At 44.4% G+C, this 21,365-nt stretch overlaps 1 protein-coding gene across 7 annotated transcripts in view, besides 4 other annotated features; it reads right to left on the minus strand.

The window, feature by feature from the left end:
- NAPB (NSF attachment protein beta) overlaps nucleotides 1-3,855 on the minus strand; it is a 46,967-nt gene extending 43,112 nt beyond the window's left edge. For all 7 annotated transcript variants that reach the window (NR_104266.2, NM_001283020.2, NM_001283026.2 and 4 more), the window contains exon 1: nucleotides 3,672-3,855. Coding sequence is in view for 5 of the 7 variants with exons in the window: in NM_001283020.2 (NP_001269949.1) it covers nucleotides 3,672-3,769 (98 nt within the window). In the remaining 2 variants the exon portion in view is untranslated. The remainder of the gene's footprint in view (nucleotides 1-3,671) is intronic.
- Nucleotides 2,844-3,073: a silencer, noted in NCBI's record as "silent region_12729". NCBI's record gives its function as "represses an Ori minimal core promoter by ATAC-STARR-seq in GM12878 lymphoblastoid cells {active_cell/tissue: GM12878}" and the evidence as "EXISTENCE:reporter gene assay evidence [ECO:0000049][PMID:35858748]".
- Nucleotides 3,704-3,793: a silencer, noted in NCBI's record as "silent region_12730". NCBI's record gives its function as "represses an Ori minimal core promoter by ATAC-STARR-seq in GM12878 lymphoblastoid cells {active_cell/tissue: GM12878}" and the evidence as "EXISTENCE:reporter gene assay evidence [ECO:0000049][PMID:35858748]".
- Nucleotides 4,044-4,233: an enhancer, noted in NCBI's record as "active region_17640". NCBI's record gives its function as "activates an Ori minimal core promoter by ATAC-STARR-seq in GM12878 lymphoblastoid cells {active_cell/tissue: GM12878}" and the evidence as "EXISTENCE:reporter gene assay evidence [ECO:0000049][PMID:35858748]".
- Nucleotides 8,151-8,858: an enhancer, noted in NCBI's record as "H3K27ac-H3K4me1 hESC enhancer chr20:23406421-23407128 (GRCh37/hg19 assembly coordinates)". NCBI's record gives its function as "activates a minimal SCP1, AML or CMV promoter by ChIP-STARR-seq in primed H9 embryonic stem cells {active_cell/tissue: H9 hESC(primed)}" and the evidence as "EXISTENCE:reporter gene assay evidence [ECO:0000049][PMID:30033119]".

The following is a 21,365-nucleotide window of genomic DNA, read 5'->3' on the forward strand; positions in this document are numbered from 1 at the left end:
TTGGAAGTAGTTTTACTAAACGTACTATACTACAAACTTGAGAAAAAGTTTTAATTCCACAACTACAAAAGCACATTACTGCTTAACGGGCAATTAAGCAGAAACACAAACCACCACAACAGTGGTTTCCTGCAATGTTTGCATCCCTTGTCAGCTCTTTTCCTGGGGAGGAAGGTGGGGATGGGAAAGGAATATTGATACCTTACCTATCAAGCAGATAAGGCAGAGGATTTGTGCCTTACACAGAGAAGAAATATTTGACTGACATGTTCTCATAAATACATATGCATATTTTCATCTAATTTTACTGAAAGCAAGAAACAAAAGCTATAGAATACTACTAAGAATACAGTATTGCCACAAAACCACTGTGAGTGGTAAACACTAGAGAACTCATGACAGGCTTTAATCTGCAGATAGAGCATTCAGAATGTCTGTGATGTGAAATATCTGCAATATGCCAAGCAGCTTTTAATGACTGCCACAACCTGAAAACAGATGGCTTATCCTCTTTAAAGCACCAGCTAGTCAGCTCTTAAATATATGAGCTCTGATGATATTCAAGTCAGTATGTGTGTTTTATTAATTTTGTATTACATTAATTCTGGAGTCTGACATAGAGATGGATTACTCTGCGTTTTAAATAAAGGATTACATGCAGACCTTTAGGAATGAAAATGGTGACATTCTATAGCTAAGAAGGCAGGGGCAGGGTGGAATAACATGTATTCCAGTCTAGAAAGGTGATGATACATGCCATCTATAAGGTAGGATTCTAAACATCTAAAATTGATACAGAATCTTAATTGTCCTACTGACACAGGAACACTACGTCTGTTTTCTGGCTTCAGTAATTATACAATATTACTAAACTCCTAAAATTCTAAGTACTCTTCTTCCTGCAAGCTTTCCTGGAGCAAGTATTACTGGAAATAACAGTCTTCAAAGTATAAATCACACTTGCATGGTACATTAATGGTTAAAGCTCTTTCAGATATTTTATTTCATTAAAAGATCAATGAGGCTGGGCGTGCTGGCTCACGTCTGTAATCCCAGCACTTTGGGAGGCCAAGGCAGGTGGATCACGAGGTCAGGCATTCGAGACCAGCCTGGCCAACACAGTGAAACCCCGTCTCTACTAAAAATACAAAAAAAAAAAAAAAATTAGCCGGGCGTGGTGGCGGGTGGCTGTAATCCCAGCTACTCAGGAGACTGAGGCAGGAGAATCGCTTGAACCTGGGAGGCGGAGGTTGCAGTTAGTTGACATCCCGCCACTGCAATCCAGCCCGGGTGACAGTGTGAGACTCCGTCTCAAAAAAAAAAAATCAATGATGCAGTCTACGGCTCTGAAATTCTGGAAAAGTTATCTGTTTGGCCTACTGCTTCTTTGATAAATAACTGGAGCTGATAATTTTGATGAATATGCTAATTAATATCTCATGGTCACTGTCTCCAACATCCATGGTTCCAAATGTTTTATAAACATAACCTCACTGAACTCCCATAAATTTTGAGATATACTATTATTGTCTCCGTTTTATACACTGGAAACTGAAGCACAGAGAGGCTAAGTAACTTGCCCTAGGTCCCAAAGCTAGATAATAAACCAACCTGTTGTACCCAGGTAAGAACTAAGATGCATTAACTTTTGTGTAACTGAGTGTGAATGGTGAAGATTCGTCTTCTTATATGTCCTGTCAATAACATAGGTAGCAACATTTAAAAGGGAGATGTTTCTTTAAAAACAAAGGCTTTTCAAAATCCTTTAAGGATTATAAGCTCAAGATTTGGCCTAGTTTCCTAAAAACATCGAAAACCTCTTTCCCAAAAGGAGTGTTCTCCTGAGACAAGCACCAAGTGCTGTCAAGCTTTTTCCTCTGCCAGTTACAGACTCTCCCACAGGGAAGCACTTCCTGACTTGAAATAATGTTGTAACATTAAAATAACCTCCTGGCATGAGGTACTATGACATTAAATTTTATTAGAGTGAATTTTAAATGTTTTGTGAATCAAAACATTTAAAAGGAGTTAGTGTGGCGCTAGCACTTGATGGTACTGTCATAACTTTTAAATGCAAAACAAAACATAATTCATAGCTATATCTCCTACACATCACATGAGAAATTTAGAAACCAGCTGTGATAAACGTCCTCTGAGAGGTTCCTGAGGACAGGGACCCTTATCTTCTTGCATTTTTGCAGCCTTTATGCATTTCTGCAGTTATGCGTACTGCATGCAACTTGTCCTTAAGCATTTCCTAAAGACGTATCAATAGCGGTAAAGTATTATAATTTATAGCCAAAAGAATGAAGTTGGCAAAACAAGCTAAGAGCCCATTATGTCTGTCTTCTGAAATAGAGTCTGAACTGAATGTGTACAGAAATAAAATCGTGTCTAGTCATGCAATGGGTTAAGTATCTGCTCTTGGTAACAGCAAAGGATCTTTCACTTTCAAAAGAAAACAACGAAACAGGCACACACAAAATTTCTGCCTTTCTCATCCTAAACAGCTGAATCATTCACATATTCAACAGCCCAGAATTCTTCCGGGCTGTCAGTGCGGGCTCTGCTTTTTGAGAGGTTGGAATTTAAAATCCTCCTTAGGAGAGCACGGAAGAATTACAGGAAATTAAAGGGATTCCCAAAGGACGCCTGACTTAAACAGCAGCAGCGTTACCGTTAATCAAACAGGAGGCTCTGGCTATCAATCAATCTCCGGAGAAGGAAAAATACTATGCTGAGAAAATATATTCGTTCATTAGTCAAGTATTTACTAAAGGTGTACTCGGCGCAAGGCCCCTGGAGAGAGGCCAACAAGCACACCAGCTCTGGATCCCTCGCCGGACCGCCCCCTCCCCGGCGGGGCCCACCTGCAGGCGGGACGCCCCCAGGTGCGCGTTCCAGGCGCCGGGGGCGGCCCCCGCACCCACCCCTCCGGCTCCACCCCGGCGCGCCTCACCCGGACCGGTCTCAGGAGCGATACGGGCTTCAGCGTGGCGAAATGCACCAATACGACTCGCTACGCACTGAGAAGGGGGCCCCACGCGCGCCCCGAGCTACCGCGCCCGCGGGCCTCAGGGAGCCGCTGACCTTCTAGGTCGTGGGACCCCCGCACCAACCCGGGCCAGGGCGAGGGGGGCGATCTGGGGTCTCCAGAGGGCGCGTGAGGCTGACAGCCCCCCCCCCAGAGTGTTCTAGGGGCTTCGTGGGGCGCTTGGGGAGCTCTGGGGGTCCTAGGGGTTCTCTGAAAGGCGCGTGGGGGCTGAGGGTCCCTGTGAGACTCTGGGGATTCTAAGGGGGCGTGTTAGGGGATCCGGAGAGCGTGTGGGGGCTGAGGAACCCTGGGGAGTTCTGCCGGCCCTAGGGGGTCTCTAAAGTGCGCGTGGGGGCTGAGAGCCCCTGGGAGGATGCGGGGTTTCCAGGGACCCTGGGGGGGCCTGTGGGGTCTCTGGAGGGCGCGTGCGGACTGAGGGCCCCTGGGCGTCCTGGGGGCTCCAGGGGGCGCTGGGGGACCCTACAGGATTTCTGGAGGGCGCCTGCAGGCTGAGGGCCCCTAGACGTGGTCTGAGGGCCCCAGAGGTTGCGTGGGGGACTCGGGGGGTCAGCCTGAAAGGAAGGGGGCCAAGTACGGAGACCCCCCCCCCCCAGGGCACGCACGGTCTGGCGCTCACCCAAACAGCCCTCGGAGGAAGGAGTGGGAGGCCTTGACTCGCTTCTCGGCCTCCGCCATCAGCTGTACTGCCTCACGCTCCTTCCCCGCGTTGTCCATGTCGCCCGCCGCGGCCGCCACAGCCCCCTCAGCCGGCTCGCTGTGCGCCCAGGCGCCTTAACCCTCCCTCTGGCGGCCGCAGGGACGCAGGCGCAGGCGCGACGCGCGAGGCCTTTCGGGAGCTGTAGTCCGGGTCCTGTCATGGCGGCGGGGATTCGCGAGCCGCCTACTACAGTTCCCAGGAGGCCCCGGGGCGGGGTGTGTGTGAGCCGAGCTTGCGCACCGCTAGCTCCCAGGACGTCGGCGCAGGGGGCGTGACCCCCCCAAAGGGGTCCTGGGCCAAGGTGAACTTTAATTTTGTATGTATGCAGAAATGGAAAAATGATCCGTGGCCTCTAGTAAAGATCACCTCCTCAGTAAGACTCGCATGGCAATGGGATGGATGAAGGAACAGGGGATAACAGATTGGATGGAACCCACACCCTTCATGCAAGTTCTGCAAAAGAGAATCTGGTGTAGCCACCAAAGCATCACATGCTTGATACCGCCCACCAAAAAACGAGCAACAGCTGGCAATAAGAGCCATTTTTATCTCCAAGAGCAAGACGTCCCCAATATAAGTTCAGTTATTTTTAAATCTCCCCAAACTGTAACTTTCTGTTGGTCCTCTCTTCCTTGGTTATAAATGAGTTGCATATATGCAATATATGCATAATCCACTCTTTTGTTGACTGAATTATATTCAATGGATGTGAACCATTGAACTCTTATCCTTTACATAATACTGGCCATAGTGGATGGATCTCCAGGGACAAAATGTTTGCCTGCCAGGAAGACTTCTAATCTCCTAGGAGAAGTATCCATAGATAGATGGGATCCTGTGCCAGAGACTTTCAGGCCTGTCCCAGAGGGAGTTATTTTTGAAGACAATGTCTAGACCATTCAAGCTTGGCAGTGCTAAGGCAGAGATGCTGAAACTAATAAGAAAATCACTGCCAAGTGAGATTTATGACAGTTTCAAACTGTTAATAAATACACTCTGGGCACTGGCATGCAAAATTTTAGAAAATGAAGACTGTCTGTAGAGGGCAAGGCAAGAGGGGCCAAACTCCTAGAAAGAAAGTTGACTAAAGCACATGTCACAGAGTTCATACATTTCAGGACTCCGTAGAGATAGAAAGAAATCTCAGCTCTTCGTGCAGTTTATTTACGATTACTACATGCATTATTCTAACTTTGAAAAGCTGAGCTGTGTGTTTTTGGAGAGAGAAGGAGGCGGGAAATTGGAGGTGACCGTAAATGCAGGGGAGACCAGAGAAAAACTGTAAAAAGTGAACATAAGCATTTGGAAAGCAGAGCAGTCTATGGGGGCTTAATGGAGTGAGGCTAAGTCAAAAGCTCCTAAGTAAATCAGTGTGTTGATTAAATCAGTTGTTCCCTAACGTGGTTCGATGCAGAAGCTCTAATGGATATTTAAGAAATACTGATTCCTAGGCCACTGGGTTTTGGTATCAAGGTCTCTTGCAGCTGGGGTCTAGAAAATGCACATTTTGAAAAGAACTCTCCATCCCTATCCTAAAGCACACAGTTCTAGATTCTCATATCTGTAGTCAGTTGAAAAGGAGCTGGAACAGACTGCCTCCCCGAAGCTAGCACTTGCAATTAAGAGAGACATTTTTGGTGGTTTCTAGTAATTTCCTTCATTCTCTTCTTTGTCACAGGAAATTTGTGGGCACTCCCACCGTTCTGCCAGTCCACACCAAAGTGGGAGAAAACCTTCAAACCTTAATTACTGGGTAGAGCTAGTGTTTTATTCTCCCAAAGGCTGGGGGAGGAAAGGAGGCAGGGCAGAGAGATGAACCTCACAGAATAAGGCCTGACTAGAGAGACAGCTGAGGAATCCTTGAAACAAGAAGGAAAAGGAAAGGAGAAGCACCCCTGGTGTGGATCAGGAGAAGAATAGAAGTCATCTTGGAGAAGAGCCAAAGGACCCACTGCCCACACCTGCGCTGCCCAGGATGGAGCCACTCACCACTGGTGGCTATTTACATTCAAGTTAAATAATATTAAATAAAATGTAAAGTTCCATTTCTTGGCTGTACTAGCCGTATTTCAAGTGCTCAATAGCCACACATAGCCAGTGGCTACTGAAAGAGTTATAAATATAGCATCCTGGTGGATTGACTAAGTTAGACACCTGGTGGATTGACTAAGTTAGATACTTGAGGGCGGTGGCTCACGCCTGTAATCCCAGCACTTTGGGAGGCCAAGGCAAGCGGATCACTTGAGGTGAGTAGTTCAAGACCAACCTGGCCAACACAGTAAAACCCCATCTCTACCAAAAATACAAAATTTACAAAAAATACAAAAATTAGTTAGGTGTCGTGGTGCATGCCTGTAATCCCAGCTACTCAGGAGGCTGAGGCAGGAGAATCACTTGAACCTGAGAGGTGGAACAGAGGTTGCAGTGAGCCGAGATTGCACCATTACACTCCAGCCTGGGCGACAGAGTGAGTGAGACTCTGCTCAAAAAAAAAAAAAAAAGTTAGACACCCAAAAAACGACAGGTGCAAGAAGATTATTTTGACTTTTTCTTTTCTTTTTTGCATACAGAATACACACTGGACACTTTGACCTCTTGTTTCTTTCTTTCTTTTTTTTTTTTTTTTGAGACAGAGTTTCACTCTGTTGCCCAGGCCAGAGTGCAGTGGCTCACTGCAAGTTCCGCCTCCCAGGTTCACGCCATTCTCCTGCCTCAGCCTCCCAAGTAGCTGGGACTACAGGCACCCACCACCACACCCGGCTAATTTTTTGGATTTTTAGTAGAGACGGGGTTTCACTGTGTTAGCCAGCATGGTCTCGATCTCCTGACCTCGTGATCCACCAGCCTCGGCCTCCCAAAGTGCTGGGATTACAGGCGTGAGCCACCGCGCCTGGCCCCAACCTCTTGTTTATTTAAAGGCAAGAGATGAAATTCCCATATGAAAGATGTCCCTCTTATACTAGAACTAAAGCAACATTCTTATCATCAAAGACAGGAAGTTGAGGCTAAGAGAATTCTGTACAAACCCTATTAAACTAACCCTTATCTTCTTAGTCACTTTTCTATCCAATTAACTACCCTAGCCCAAGCCCCTCTGCCTCATCACATTTTCAGTTTACTATTCTTTGTCCAATTCAGTAAATAAGTAACACACTCTAACTGCCTCTTTGGGTTTTCATTTCCTTATGAGGCCTCCCATGCCATGTAAAACTTGTATCAAATACACCTGTGTGCTTTCCTGCTATTAACTTGTCTTATGTAAGTTTAATTTTCAGACTCCACCAGGAGCCTGAGATGCCCCCCTACACTACTATATGGACTGCACAGACAGAGAACAATTTTATCATTCCACAAGTCCTAGTGGATGGCACTAGCCTCTATGTGCTTTGCTTTTCAGAAGTTCTGGACACTTGTAAGAAAAGAAGAAAAAGGCTTCAGGGAGTTTCTGAGAAGGCAGAGCAGGAAAGGAGCGTAGCCTGAACAAGGCAGAGCCAACAGTACTGCTGGCTTTTCCCTGTGAGAAGATGGAGGTGGACACCTGGACACTCAGACTGAATCAGCACATACCCCGAAAGATGATCCATCAAGACAGGGCTGAAGCTACTTGAGAACCCCAATACTAAGAAAGCCAGAGTCAGAAAAGAACAGAATCGATATGGGGAAAGGGTGTAGCCATCTGTGTGTGTTCACAGAAGGGGAGAAAGCACCAGGCAAAGATCCAGTATGGAAAATTATGGGACATCACTGCTGCTTCACTGAAGCAAAGCAAGAAGGCTCACCCACATTAAAGGGGAGGGAAATGAGACGACATCTCCTGATGGGAGGGCCTCTGAGGATTTGCAGATGTTTTCACACCACGACAGCTAGGTTAGAGGGAGTCCGTGCTCACCCTGGTCCACTCTGGTTGCATTGACAAAGTTGGGAAGCTGGAGCCCCTACGCTGGCGTTGGGGGACAGCCTTCAGCTCACATGGCCCTGCATGGCATGGCCCAACGGTCCCTGCCCAGGTCTGCAGTGGCCTTCTCTGATGACATCTCAGCCTTCGTTCTGCCTGAAATGCTAAGCGTGGCTCAGAGTCATCGGACAAGGTCAAACCATCTAAAGCAGAGTGTTCTGCTTCAGAAGGCAGGGAAGGAAGAAGTCCATTTCAGGAGGCTCTTCACCCAAAATCGTTAAAGGAATGCATTAATGAAAATAAATCTTCCATCTGTGTGGATGAGGTTGTGCAATTCTAAGGACAGAATTTAATTGTTCTATTTACAGTGATTCTTTTCATTTTTCTCATAGACTAACAAAACCCAAGAACATTTGAATGGCACATTTCAGAGAAATAATTAAACAGCTTTTGTTAATCTCTAAAAAACTTTTTGAAACAACATCAGTTTAAGTGTTTGTGTGTTATGTGTGTGGGGTGACATTTCACACCCTGTGAAAACTGTTACAAGTTTCCCCAAATGTAACTTTATTAATCTTATTTAACCTTTCCTTAAAAAATTACTCTATAAAATTCAGACCAAAAAGTTAGAAAAGGTAAAATTAAATATACGCAAATATCTGTTACAGAAAACAAAAAATGGTAAATTAAGTTAAAATAAATGCTTATGAGAAAATATATATTATTGTCATTAGTAAGTGCTCTTCTTCTTCTTCTTCTTTTTTTTTTTTTTTTTTTTTTTTTTGAGACAGGGTGTCGCTCTGTTGCCCAGGCTAAAATGCACAATCAGGGGAGGAGCCAAGATGGCCGAATAGGAACAGCTCCGGTCTACAGCTCCCAGCGTGAGCGACGCAGAAGACGGGTGATTTCTGCATTTCCATCTGAGGTACCGGGTTCATCTCACTAGGGAGTGCCAGACAGTGGGCGCAGGCCAGTGTGTGTGCGCACCGTGCGCGAGCCGAAGCAGGGCGAGGCATTGCCTCACCTGGGAAGCACAAGGGGTCAGGGAGTTCCCTTTCCGAGTCAAAGAAAGGGGTGACGGACGCACCTGGAAAATCGGGTCACTCCCACCCGAATATTGCGCTTTTCAGACCGGCTTAAGAAACGGCGCACCACGAGACTATATCCCACACCTGGCTCAGAGGGTCCTACGCCCACGGAATCTCGCTGATTGCTAGCACAGCAGTCTGAGATCAAACTGCAAGGCGGCAACGAGGCTGGGGGAGGGGCGCCCGCCATTGCCCAGGCTTGCTTAGGTAAACAAAGCAGCCGGGAAGCTCGAACTGGGTGGAGCCCACCACAGCTCAAGGAGGCCTGCCTGCCTCTGTAGGCTCCACCTCTGGGGGCAGGGCACAGACAAACAAAAAGACAGCAGTAACCTCTGCAGACTTAAGTGTCCCTGTCTGACAGCTTTGAAGAGAGCAGTGGTTCTCCCAGCACGCAGCTGGAGATCTGAGAACGGGCAGACTGCCTCCTCAAGTGGGTCCCTGACCCCTGACCCCCGAGCAGCCTAACTGGGAGGCACCCCCCAGCAGGGGCACACTGACACCTCACACGGCAGGGTATTCCAACAGACCTGCAGCTGAGGGTCCTGTCTGTTAGAAGGAAAACTAACAACCAGAAAGGACATCTACACCGAAAACCCATCTGTACATCACCATCATCAAAGACCAAAAGTAGATAAAACCACAAAGATGGGGAAAAAACAGAACAGAAAAACTGGAAACTCTAAAACGCAGAGCGCCTCTCCTCCTCCAAAGGAACGCAGTTCCTCACCAGCAACAGAACAAAGCTGGATGGAGAATGATTTTGACGAGCTGAGAGAAGAAGGCGTCAGACGATCAAATTACTCTGAGCTACGGGAGGACATTCAAACCAAAGGCAAAGAAGTTGAAAACTTTGAAAAAAATTTAGAAGAATGTATAACTAGAATAACCAATACAGAGAAGTGCTTAAAGGAGCTGATGGAGCTGAAAACCAAGGCTCGAGAACTACGTGAAGAATGCAGAAGCCTCAGGAGCCGATGCGATCAACTGGAAGAAAGGGTATCAGCAATGGAAGATGAAATGAATGAAATGAAGCGAGAAGGGAAGTTTAGAGAAAAAAGAATAAAAAGAAATGAGCAAAGCCTCCAAGAAATATGGGACTATGTGAAAAGACCAAATCTACGTCTGATTGGTGTACCTGAAAGTGATGTGGAGAATGGAACCAAGTTGGAAAACACTCTGCAGGATATTATCCAGGAGAACTTCCCCAATCTAGCAAGGCAGGCCAACGTTCAGATTCAGGAAATACAGAGAACGCCACAAAGATACTCCTCGAGAAGAGCAACTCCAAGACACATAATTGTCAGATTCACCAAAGTTGAAATGAAGGAAAAAATGTTAAGGGCAGCCAGAGAGAAAGGTCGGGTTACCCTCAAAGGAAAGCCCATCAGACTAACAGCGGATCTCTCGGCAGAAACCCTACAAGCCAGAAGAGAGTGGGGGCCAATATTCAACATTCTTAAAGAAAAGAATTTTCAACCCAGAATTTCATATCCAGCCAAACTAAGCTTCATAAGTGAAGGAGAAATAAAATACTTTATAGACAAGCAAATGCTGAGAGATTTTGTCACCACCAGGCCTGCCCTAAAAGAGCTCCTGAAGGAAGCGCTAAACATGGAAAGGAACAACCAGTACCAGCTGCTGCAAAATCATGCCAAAATGTAAAGACCATCGAGACTAGGAAGAAACTGCATCAACTAATGAGCAAAATCACCAGCTAACATCATAATGACAGGATCAAATTCACACATAACAATATTAACTTTAAATATAAATGGACTAAATTCTGCAATTAAAAGACACAGACTGGCAAGTTGGATAAAGAGTCAAGACCCATCAGTGTGCTGTATTCAGGAAACCCATCTCACGTGCAGAGACACACATAGGCTCAAAATAAAAGGATGGAGGAAGATCTACCAAGCCAATGGAAAACAAAAAAAGGCAGGGGTTGCAATCCTAGTCTCTGATAAAACAGACTTTAAACCAACAAAGATCAAAAGAGACAAAGAAGGCCATTACATAATGGTAAAGGGATCAATTCAACAAGAGGAGCTAACTATCCTAAATATTTATGCACCCAATACAGGAGCACCCAGATTCATAAAGCAAGTCCTCAGTGACCTACAAAGAGACTTAGACTCCCACACATTAATAATGGGAGACTTTAACACCCCACTGTCAACATTAGACAGATCAACGAGACAGAAAGTCAACAAGGATACCCAGGAATTGAACTCAGCTCTGCACCAAGCAGACCTAATAGACATCTACAGAACTCTCCACCCCAAATCAACAGAATATACATTTTTTTTCAGCACCACACCACACCTATTCCAAAATTGACCACATAGTTGGAAGTAAAGCTCTCCTCAGCAAATGTAAAAGAACAGAAATTATAACAAACTATCTCTCAGACCACAGTGCAATCAAACTAGAACTCAGGATTAAGAATCTCACTCAAAGCCGCTCAACTACATGGAAACTGAACAACCTGCTCCTGAATGACTACTGGGTACATAACGAAATGAAGGCAGAAATAAAGATGTTCTTTGAAACCAACGAGAACAAAGACACCACATACCAGAATCTCTGGGACGCATTCAAAGCAGTGTGTAGAGGGAAATTTATAGCACTAAATGCCTACAAGAGAAAGCAGGAAGGATCCAAAATTGACACCCTAACATCACAATTAAAAGAACTAGAAAAGCAAGAGCAAACACATTCAAAAGCTAGCAGAAGGCAAGAAATAACTAAAATCAGAGCAGAACTGAAGGAAATAGAGACACAAAAAACCCTTCAAAAAATCAATGAATCCAGGAGCTGGTTTTTTGAAAGGATCAACAAAATTGATAGACCACTAGCAAGACTAATAAAGAAATAAAGAGAGAAGAATCAAATAGACACAATAAAAAATGATAAAGGGGATATCACCACCGATCCCACAGAAATACAAACTACCATCAGAGAATACTACAAACACCTCTACGCAAATAAACTAGAAAATCTAGAAGAAATGGATACATTCCTCGACACATACACTCTCCCAAGACTAAACCAGGAAGAAGTTGAATCTCTGAATAGACCAATAACAGGATCTGAAATTGTGGCAATAATCAATAGTTTACCAACCAAAAAGAGTCCAGGACCAGATGGATTCACAGCCGAATTCTACCAGAGGTACAAGGAGGAACTGGTACCATTCCTTCTGAAACTATTCCAATCAATAGAAAAAGAGGGAATCCTCCCTAACTCATTTTATGAGGCCAGCATCATTCTGATACCAAAGCCGGGCAGAGACACAACCAAAAAAGAGAATTTTAGACCAATATCCTTGATGAACATTGATGCAAAAATCCTCAATAAAATACTGGCAAACTGAATCCAGCAGCACATCAAAAAGCTTATCCACCATGATCAAGTGGGCTTCATCCCTGGGATGCAAGGCTGGTTCAATATACGCAAATCAATAAATGTAATCCAGCATATAAACAGAGCCAAAGACAAAAACCACATGATTATCTCAATAGATGCAGAAAAAGCCTTTGACAAAATTCAACAACCCTTCATGCTAAAAACTCTCAATAAATTAGGTATTGATGGGACGTATTTCAAAATAATAAGAGCTATCTATGACAAACCCACAGCCAATATCATACTGAATGGGCAAAAACTGGAAGCATTCCTTTTGAAAACTGGCACAAGACAGGGATGCCCTCTCTCACCGCTCCTATTCAACATAGTGTTGGAAGTTCTGGCCAGGGCAATCAGGCAGGAGAAGGAAATAAAGGGTATTCAATTAGGAAAAGAGGAAGTCAAATTGTCCCTGTTTGCAGACGACATGATTGTTTATCTAGAAAACCCCATCGTCTCAGCCCAAAATCTCCTTAAGCTGATAAGCAACTTCAGCAAAGTCTCAGGATACAAAATCAATGTACAAAAATCACAAGCATTCTTATACACCAACAACAGACAAACAGAGAGCCAAATCATGAGTGAACTCCCATTCACAATTGCTTCAAAGAGAATAAAATACCTAGGAATCCAACTTACAAGGGATGTGAAGGACCTCTTCAAGGAGAACTACAAACCACTGCTCAAGGAAATAAAAGAGGACACAAACAAATGGAAGAACATTCCATGCTCATGGGTAGGAAGAATCAATATCGTGAAAATGGCCATACTGCCCAAGGTAATTTACAGATTCAATGCCATCCCCATCAAGCTACCAATGACTTTCTTCACAGAATTGGAAAAAACTACTTTAAAGTTCATATGGAACCAAAAAAGAGCCCGCATCGCCAAGTCAATCCTAAGCCAAAAGAACAAAGCTGGAGGCATCACACTACCTGACTTCAAACTATACTACAAGGCTACAGTAACCAAAACAGCATGGTACTGGTACCAAAACAGAGATATAGATCAATGGAACAGAACAGAGCCCTCAGAAATAATGCCGCATATCTACAACTATCTGATCTTTGACAAACCTGAGAAAAACAAGCAATGGGGAAAGGATTCCCTATTTAATAAATGGTGCTGGGAAAACTGGCTAGCCATATGTAGAAAGCTGAAACTGGATCCCTTCCTTACACCTTATACAAAAATCAATTCAAGATGGATTAAAGATTTAAACGTTAGACCTAAAACCATAAAAACCCTAGAAGAAAACCTAGGCATTACCATTCAGGACATAGGCGTGGGCAAGGACTTCATGTCCAAAACACCAAAAGCAATGGCAACAAAAGCCAAAATTGACAAATGGGATCTAATTAAACTAAAGAGCTTCTGCACAGCAAAAGAAACTACCATCAGAGTGAACAGGCAACCTACAACATGGGAGAAAATTTTTGCAACCTACTCATCTGACAAAGGGCTAATATCCAGAATCTACAATGAACTCAAACAAATTTACAAGAAAAAAACAAACAACCCCATCAAAAAGTGGGCGAAGGACATGAACAGACACTTCTCAAAAGAAGACATTTATGCAGCCAAAAAACACATGAAGAAATGCTCATCATCACTGGCCATCAGAGAAATGCAAATCAAAACCACTATGAGATATCATCTCACACCAGTTAGAATGGCAATCATTAAAAAGTCAGGAAACAACAGGTGCTGGAGAGGATGTGGAGAAATAGGAACACTTTTACACTGTTGGTGGGACTGTAAACTAGTTCAACCATTGTGGAAGTCAGTGTGGCGATTCCTCAGGGATCTAGAACTAGAAATACCATTTGACCCAGCCATCCCATTATTGGGTATATACCCAAAGGACTATAAATCATGCTGCTATAAAGACACATGCACACGTATGTTTATTGCGGCACTATTCACAATAGCAAAGACTTGGAACCAACCCAAATGTCCAACAATGATAGACTGGATTAAGAAAATGTGGCACATATACACCATGGAATACTATGCAGCCATAAAAAATGATGAGTTCATATCCTTTGTAGGGACATGGATGAAATTGGAAACCATCATTCTCAGTAAACTATCGCAAGAACAAAAAACCAAACACCGCATATTCTCACTCATAGGTGGGAATTGAACAATGAGATCACATGGACACAGGAAGGGGAATATCACACTCTGGGGACTGTGGTGGGGTCGGGGGAGGGGGGAGGGATAGCATTGGGAGATATACCTAATGCTAGATGACACATTAGTGGGTGCAGCGCACCAGCATGGCACATGTATACATATGTAACTAACCTGCACAATGTGCACATGTACCCTAAAACTTAGAGTATAATAAAAAAAAAAAAAAAAAATGAGAAAAACCGAAATCATGCACCAGTCGATAAGATGCAATAAAGAATACAGCATCAAAAAAAAAAAATAAAAAAAAATAAAATGCACAATCAAAGCTCACTGCAGCCTAAATCTCCCAGGCGTAAGTGGTCCTCCTACCTCAGCCTCCTGAGTAGCTGGGACTACAGGCATGTACCACCAAACCCAGTTGTTTTTTAATTTTTATTTTTAGTAGAGATGAGGTCTTGCTCTCTTGCCCAGGCTGGTCTCAAACTCCTGAGCTCAAGCAGTCTTTCCATCTCAGACTCCCAAAGTGCTGGGATTACAGGCATGAGCCACTGTGCCCGACCAAATATTCTTCTTTTTATTAGTTGATGTAAAAGTCTAAAAACAAGTTTTGAAATTAACTTGATGCCTTTATTTATGGCAAATGGGCATAAGATCATTTTGACAATTTTTATTTATATTATATATTCTAGGACCTTTCTTATCTATGCTTAATGTAAGTTAAATGGTTGTGAGCCACAGACACAACTGCTTAAAGGGAAAAATGGTTTATTTCTCACATACTCTTTGAATTCCTTTCACATGATTATTTAATATTACATTAGGAGAAATTTTAGGGAAAAAAAGATGCTCATAATTCTACCTGCTCAATGAAACATTTTTAATTTTTTATACATATATAGTGCTATCTCATTTTTATCCATCAAACTTACACATGTGTAAGTATTATTAGGAGTATGCTTGTAGTTTGTATTTTTTGTTTGTTTATGAAACATATATTTTCTCTGTTGCTATAAGTGTTTGTAATTGGTTGTTAATGGCCAATAGTTGAATAAATCAGATTTCACAAAACCTTTTTCCACGGTGGCATATTTGGTTTGCATCACATTTGGCTCTTATGGAAACATCTAAGACTGTCTTGGAAAGTGAAATAATTTCCCCATCACTAGATTACACCGTCCCAGGCTTATTTAGGGTGCGGTACTAGCATTTCTTCATTATCAGGTGGGAAGAACTGGGTCTTCGCAAATCTACTCTTAACATGGTAGTAACTGTCTTTAAAAACACAGTCAACCCTTATTATTCATGGATTTCATATTTGCAAACTCACCTACTTGCTAAAATTAAGTTGCATTCCTAAAATCAACACTTGTGGCACTTTTGCCGTCATTCACAGACGCTCAGAGTGGGCAAAAATGTGGGTGGCCTGACACATATGTTCCAAGCTGAGGTCAAATACAGCAGCAATCTGCCTTCTTGTTCCAACTGTTGTTGTTTTTGTTTGTTTGTTTGTTTTCGAGATGGTGTCTCACTCTGTCTACCAGGCTGGAGTGCAGTGGCTCGATCTCAGCTCACTGCAACCTACACCTCCTGGGTTCAAGCAATTCTCCTGCCTCAGCCTCCCAGGTATTTGAGACTACAGGCACGTGCCACCATACCCAGCTAAGTTTTGTATTTTTACTAGAGATGGGGTTTCCCCATGTTGATCAGGCTGGTCTCGAACTCCTGACCTCAGGTAATCCACCTGCCTTGGCCTTGAGCCACCACTCCCAGCCTTGTTCTAGCTCTTATATTGTTAATGTGTCCTTCTTCACAGCCTGTTTAGTGCCACGTTTCACAATTTTGTATTGGTTTTTTTTTTAGAGGTGGGGTCTTGCTGTGTTGCCCAGGCTGATCTCGAACTCCTGAGCTCAAGTGTCTTCAGCCTTGGCCTCCCAAAGTGTTGGCATTACAGGTATGAGCTATCACATGTGGTTTGAGTTTTGTGCTTTTTTTGGTTGGTGATTTTGCTGATTAAAATGGCCCCAGGCATAGTGCTGCAGTGCTATCTAGTTCCTAGGCACAAGAAGACTGTGAGGTGCCTTATGGAGAAAATGTGTCTTAAATAAGCTTCATTCAGGCATTTACAGGACTGTTGGTGGTGAGCTTGATGACAATGAGTCAACAATATATATTTAAAAGACACCTCTAACTAGAGACACACATAAAATAAGGTTAAATATTGATCAATTGACAGAAAGTGTTGTAACCAGAGACTCAAGGAAACCAAACCTTGTGTTTTTCCTGGGCACAATGGTTTAGCATTTACTACTTCCATGTTTGCAGAGATTTTATAGAAGATACCTTCTGCAAATGATGAAAATCAGCTGCACATTGGGACAGTATCTGGATAAAGAAATGAAATGAAGTCAGATCATAGAATATCCCTTTCCCAATCCCTAAAAGAAATGGGCAAAAAGATAAAAACTAGCAGCTTTTCAAGAGAACTAAGACAGAGGGAAATCATCTGGTGCTGGCTAATTTCTATTTGCTCCCTAGCCCCACTGGCTAACCTTCTGTTATGGTTAATTTTACGTGTCAACTTGACTGGGCCACGGAATGCCCACTATCTGTTAAATGTTATTTCTGGATGGGTCTGTGAGGATGTTTCTGGAAAAGGTCAGCATTTGAATCAGTGGACTGAGTAAAGCAAATGGCCCCTCCAATGTGAGTGACACCATTCAATCCAATCCACTGAGTGCCCGAGTGGCAGATGGTTGAATTAGCTCTGCCTGGCTGTTTGGACTGTGACATCAATCTTCTCCTGCCCTCAGCGCTCCTGGTTATTAAGCCTTCAGACTCAGGTTGGAATCCACACCCGTGGCTCTCCAGCTCTCAGGCCTTCCAACTATACCATTGGCTTTCCTTGGTTTCCAGCTTGCAAACAGCAGATGGTGGACTTCGAGGCCTCCATAATTGTACAAGCCAATCCTTTATAACAAATCTCTTCATATCTCTGTGTTTCTCTGGAGAACCCTGACTAAGGCACTTTCTCCATGCTGCTCTCTGCTTCACAACACAGGCTGCTATGGACTCCATCCGTGGGGCTCTTGTGCCCTATAACTTCTGCTTGTATTTGACAACAAGATGCCTAGGAATGAGGTAGAGGACAGAGGAGACTGACATCATGGTGTTTGTCCCCTGCTCTCTCCACAAAGTGGCCAGCTGGCACTCCAATTCTTTCTAGATGTTTGCCTCATCTTTCAGGCTTAGGCTAGGTGGCATGGCTGCTGCAGACACTTGCCCTGTGTCCCAGGGTTTCTGTGTCCCTGCACCATTGCACAGCGCCCCGTATAGAAACTGCCCTGAACTCTCCTGTTGCAAGTGTGCCTGTGCTGACTGTGGAGACCCAGACTGACATGCTCCCCAACCCGTTGGATGAGGCCAGTATAACCTTGAAACCCAAACCAGGAAAGCACAATATGAGAAAAAACAATCACAGCCCAGTTTAACTCATGAAGATAGATACAAAAATTCTGAAGAAAACATTAGTAAACATACCACGCACAAAAATCTAGATGGATTATGGACGTAAATGGGAAATGCTAAACTTTAAGAATTTCAGAAAAAATATTTAAAAGTAGCTTTATGACCTTGATTTCCTAAATAAGACATAAAAAATGCAAACCACAAGAAAGAAAAATCAATACATTCTTTCCATTAAGATTAAGAATATTTTTTCATCAACATGCCATAAATAAAATGAAAAGACAACCACAACCCAGAGGATGACATTTGCAAGAAGGATAAATAAATCCTACAAATCAATTGAAGACAACCAAACAGAAAAATGGGCAAAAGATTTGAACTTGAAGACTTAATTACAGATTTCAACAGACTCTTGGCCCTCTTCCGCTTTTGCTGCTCATTGCTTCAGTGGGAAAAGCATCTGCTTACAGAAAACCAGACAGATCGCAGGAGAAGGTGGAAGCAGGAGTGTCGCAGCCTGCAGAATCCACCTGCTTTTTCTTTGCTTTCAAAATGGAACCTGATGACTATTTAAGAGCTGGTAAACAGATATTGTGTTGTGGAAAACGTCTGCAGAAAGGAGACCAAAGGCTGGATGAGGACGATGACCTCCCCACAAGCCCCTCCACTCTGGGCATCCTTGGCCTCTTGTGACACGCTCTCACTTTTTAAGCCTTGTGATTTCTCATGTTTCTGTGTCTGGAAAGAGAAAATGTACCCTGGGACCTTTGGAGCGATGCCAGCTTGGAGCCATCTGTAGCACCGCCTTGTTTGCTGACTTTCTGTGCGCCTGCTGCTGGCCTGCTCCCCAGAATCAGAAGGCATTTCCAGCCAAGATCAGCCATGTTCTTCTGCTGCTGCCCTGGGGGCGAGGGCTCAGGGCTGCAGTGGGAGCTGCTGCTGGCAGCATGGACTGTGCTCCCCTACCCCTGCCCTGCAGCCACAGTTGGGAGATTCCTCAAGCAGGCACAGACTGCTGACCATTCCTTCCTGGGCCATGTTTGGAGGGTGCCCAGCAGCAGGTGGGTCGCAAATAGATTTGCTTTCTGCCTGGGTTATCTCCAGGTCAGCAGCCAGCCTAGAACAGGATTATTTAGGGGACAAAGAAGAGCTTGTCAAATAGTGCTACATGCAAAAAAAAAAAAAAAAAAAAAAAATAGAGTGGAGAGAAGAAACCAACCGAGATCAGCCGTGTTGTTTACAGAGGATTATTTGTTTCCCCAGAATGATCAGAAAATTTCAGATAGCAGATGTCGGCTGATGAAGAGAGTGTCACAGTGTGACCCTTTCCCAGCACCAATGCCATATCTACTGGTGAAGGAGTGATGAAGAACTACAGCCAGGAAGCTCCCTGTCTGCAGGTTCCTCAGCCCACATAAGCAGAGCCTGCTGGGATAAAACACATCATCATGTTCTTGTTTATTTCCTGCTTCTCCTAGGAGCTGGACTGATAAAGAAATCCTGAGCTTGGTCGTCAACAGACAGAACCAGGAAGTTGTGCAGCTCATAGGGGGCCTCTGTGGGACACACACCATCTCGCCCACACAGCACCCAGCCACGGGTTGATCCAACAGGAATCCCACACTTGCCATCATGCCTGGTCCAGCAGTGGCCTGTTACCAGGTTCAGCTTATGAGACAGGAGGCCCAGTTTGCTGGACTCCTGGGAAACATACTTTTTCTTTCTTTCTTTTTTTTTTTTTTTTTCAGACGGGGTCTTACTCTGCTGGGCAGGCTGGAGTGCAGTGGCACAATCACAGCTCACTGCATTCTAGACCTCCAGGGCTCAAGCGATCCTTTCATCTCAGCCTCCAGAGTTGCTGAGACTACAGGCATGTGCTCCCCGGCTAATTTTTGTGTTTTTTAGTAGAGATGGGGTTTCACCATGTTGGCCAGGCAGGTCTTGAACTCCTGGCCTCATGTGATCTGCCCACCTTGGCCTCCCCAAAGTGTTGGGATTACAGGTGTGAGCCACGGCGCCTGGCCAAATTGCACATATTTAAAGTGTACAATTTGATGAAATTTGTCATACGTATGCACCTGTGGAATTATCACTACAATTCATACAACAGACATATCTATCACCTGAAGTTTTCTCATGCCCTTCTGCAATCCTTCTCTCCTATGCTCCTTATTCCACAGACATGAGCAGACCTCATATTTCCTGTTATTCCATGGTCTAACCAGAGCTCATATTTTTCCCTTCTTTTATTGGCAAGAACAGGGCTCCTATTTGTTATAGCCAGCACTCCTAATTTACTCTTGTTCCACGGAAATACTCAGGCCCCTATTTTTCCATTGTTTCATGGCAGTAACCAGACAACAACTAAGCCCTCTATTTCCCTTTGTTCTGTCGCCCAGGCTGGAGTGCTTGGTGTGATCTCAGCTCACTGCAGCCTCGACCTCTCTTGGGCTCAGGTGATCCTCCCACCTCAGCCTCCAGAGTAGCTGGGACTACAGATGTGGGCCACCATGTCTGGCTAATTTTTGTATTTTCTGTGGAAACGGGGTTTCACCATGTTGCCCAGGCTGGTCTGGAACTCCTGGGCTGAAGCAATCCTCCTAGCCTCAGCCTCCCAGGTGTCAGCCACTATGCTCTGCCCCTATTCCATGCTGTAACCAAGCTCCCTGTCTCCCTTTATACATGTACCTTACCAGAATCATATTTTTTTCCTGATTCCATGTCCACAGAGTCAGAAATCAGCATTTTGCTGACACAAGCTAAGGAACGCCAGTGTGACCTGTTAGGCGCCTCACATCTCTTTCTGTGGCATAGTCAGGGTCTATGTTTTCCTTTTCTTCAATTAAAATTGCCAGTGACTCATTTTCCTCTTTATGGACACAACCAACTCCCATATTTCTTAAGCAGATTTATTGTTTATGCTTTGAGCCCCACATCCATGGGGTTTCTAATATGGCCCACCCAATGTTATTTTTCCTCTCTATGGGCCTCAGCCTGATGGGGGTATCCCAGGTGTCTGGGGCATGCTGAGACGGCACAGGTCTGTGTGGCTTCCCGGATTACTCGGAATCCTTCATTATCTATTCTACAGCAAGTGGCCCTCGGCAGCTCAGGCTCAGGGAATTTCAAATGTATCACCTCCACCGGCTGGACAAGTCCTCTCAAGACAGGCTCTGGGGCCAAGGGAGGATGTTGTGACTGGTGCTAGCAACATTGTCATGATGGAAGGTGGCCTGGCTTCCGGGACATGACAGGCCATGGGTGAAGTGTGGGTTCAGAGTCACAGAAGAATCACGAAGAAGACATTCTTATGCACCTGACACCTGACTTGGGAGCAGGTTCTTTGCCTACATCCAGTTAGTCTCTACCACAATTCAAGTGGAGTCTTTCTCCCCATTCTCATATTACAGGTGAAGAAACCCAGCTTAGGGAGATGAGGTAACTCTCCCAGAGTCCCCAGCGAAGGACTTGAGCCAGGACAGTTGGATCCTAAGTCTCCTGCTTCCCCTCCCTCAGCACGCTACTCCTCACAGAACAACGCTTTATTTAGTTTTGGACATTTTAACCTTTATTTTGGAATAATTTCAGACTTACACAAAGGCTGCAAAAATAGCATAA

Source organism: Homo sapiens, chromosome 20, assembly GCF_000001405.40.
Source record: "Homo sapiens chromosome 20, GRCh38.p14 Primary Assembly".
NCBI lineage: Eukaryota > Metazoa > Chordata > Mammalia > Primates > Hominidae > Homo > Homo sapiens.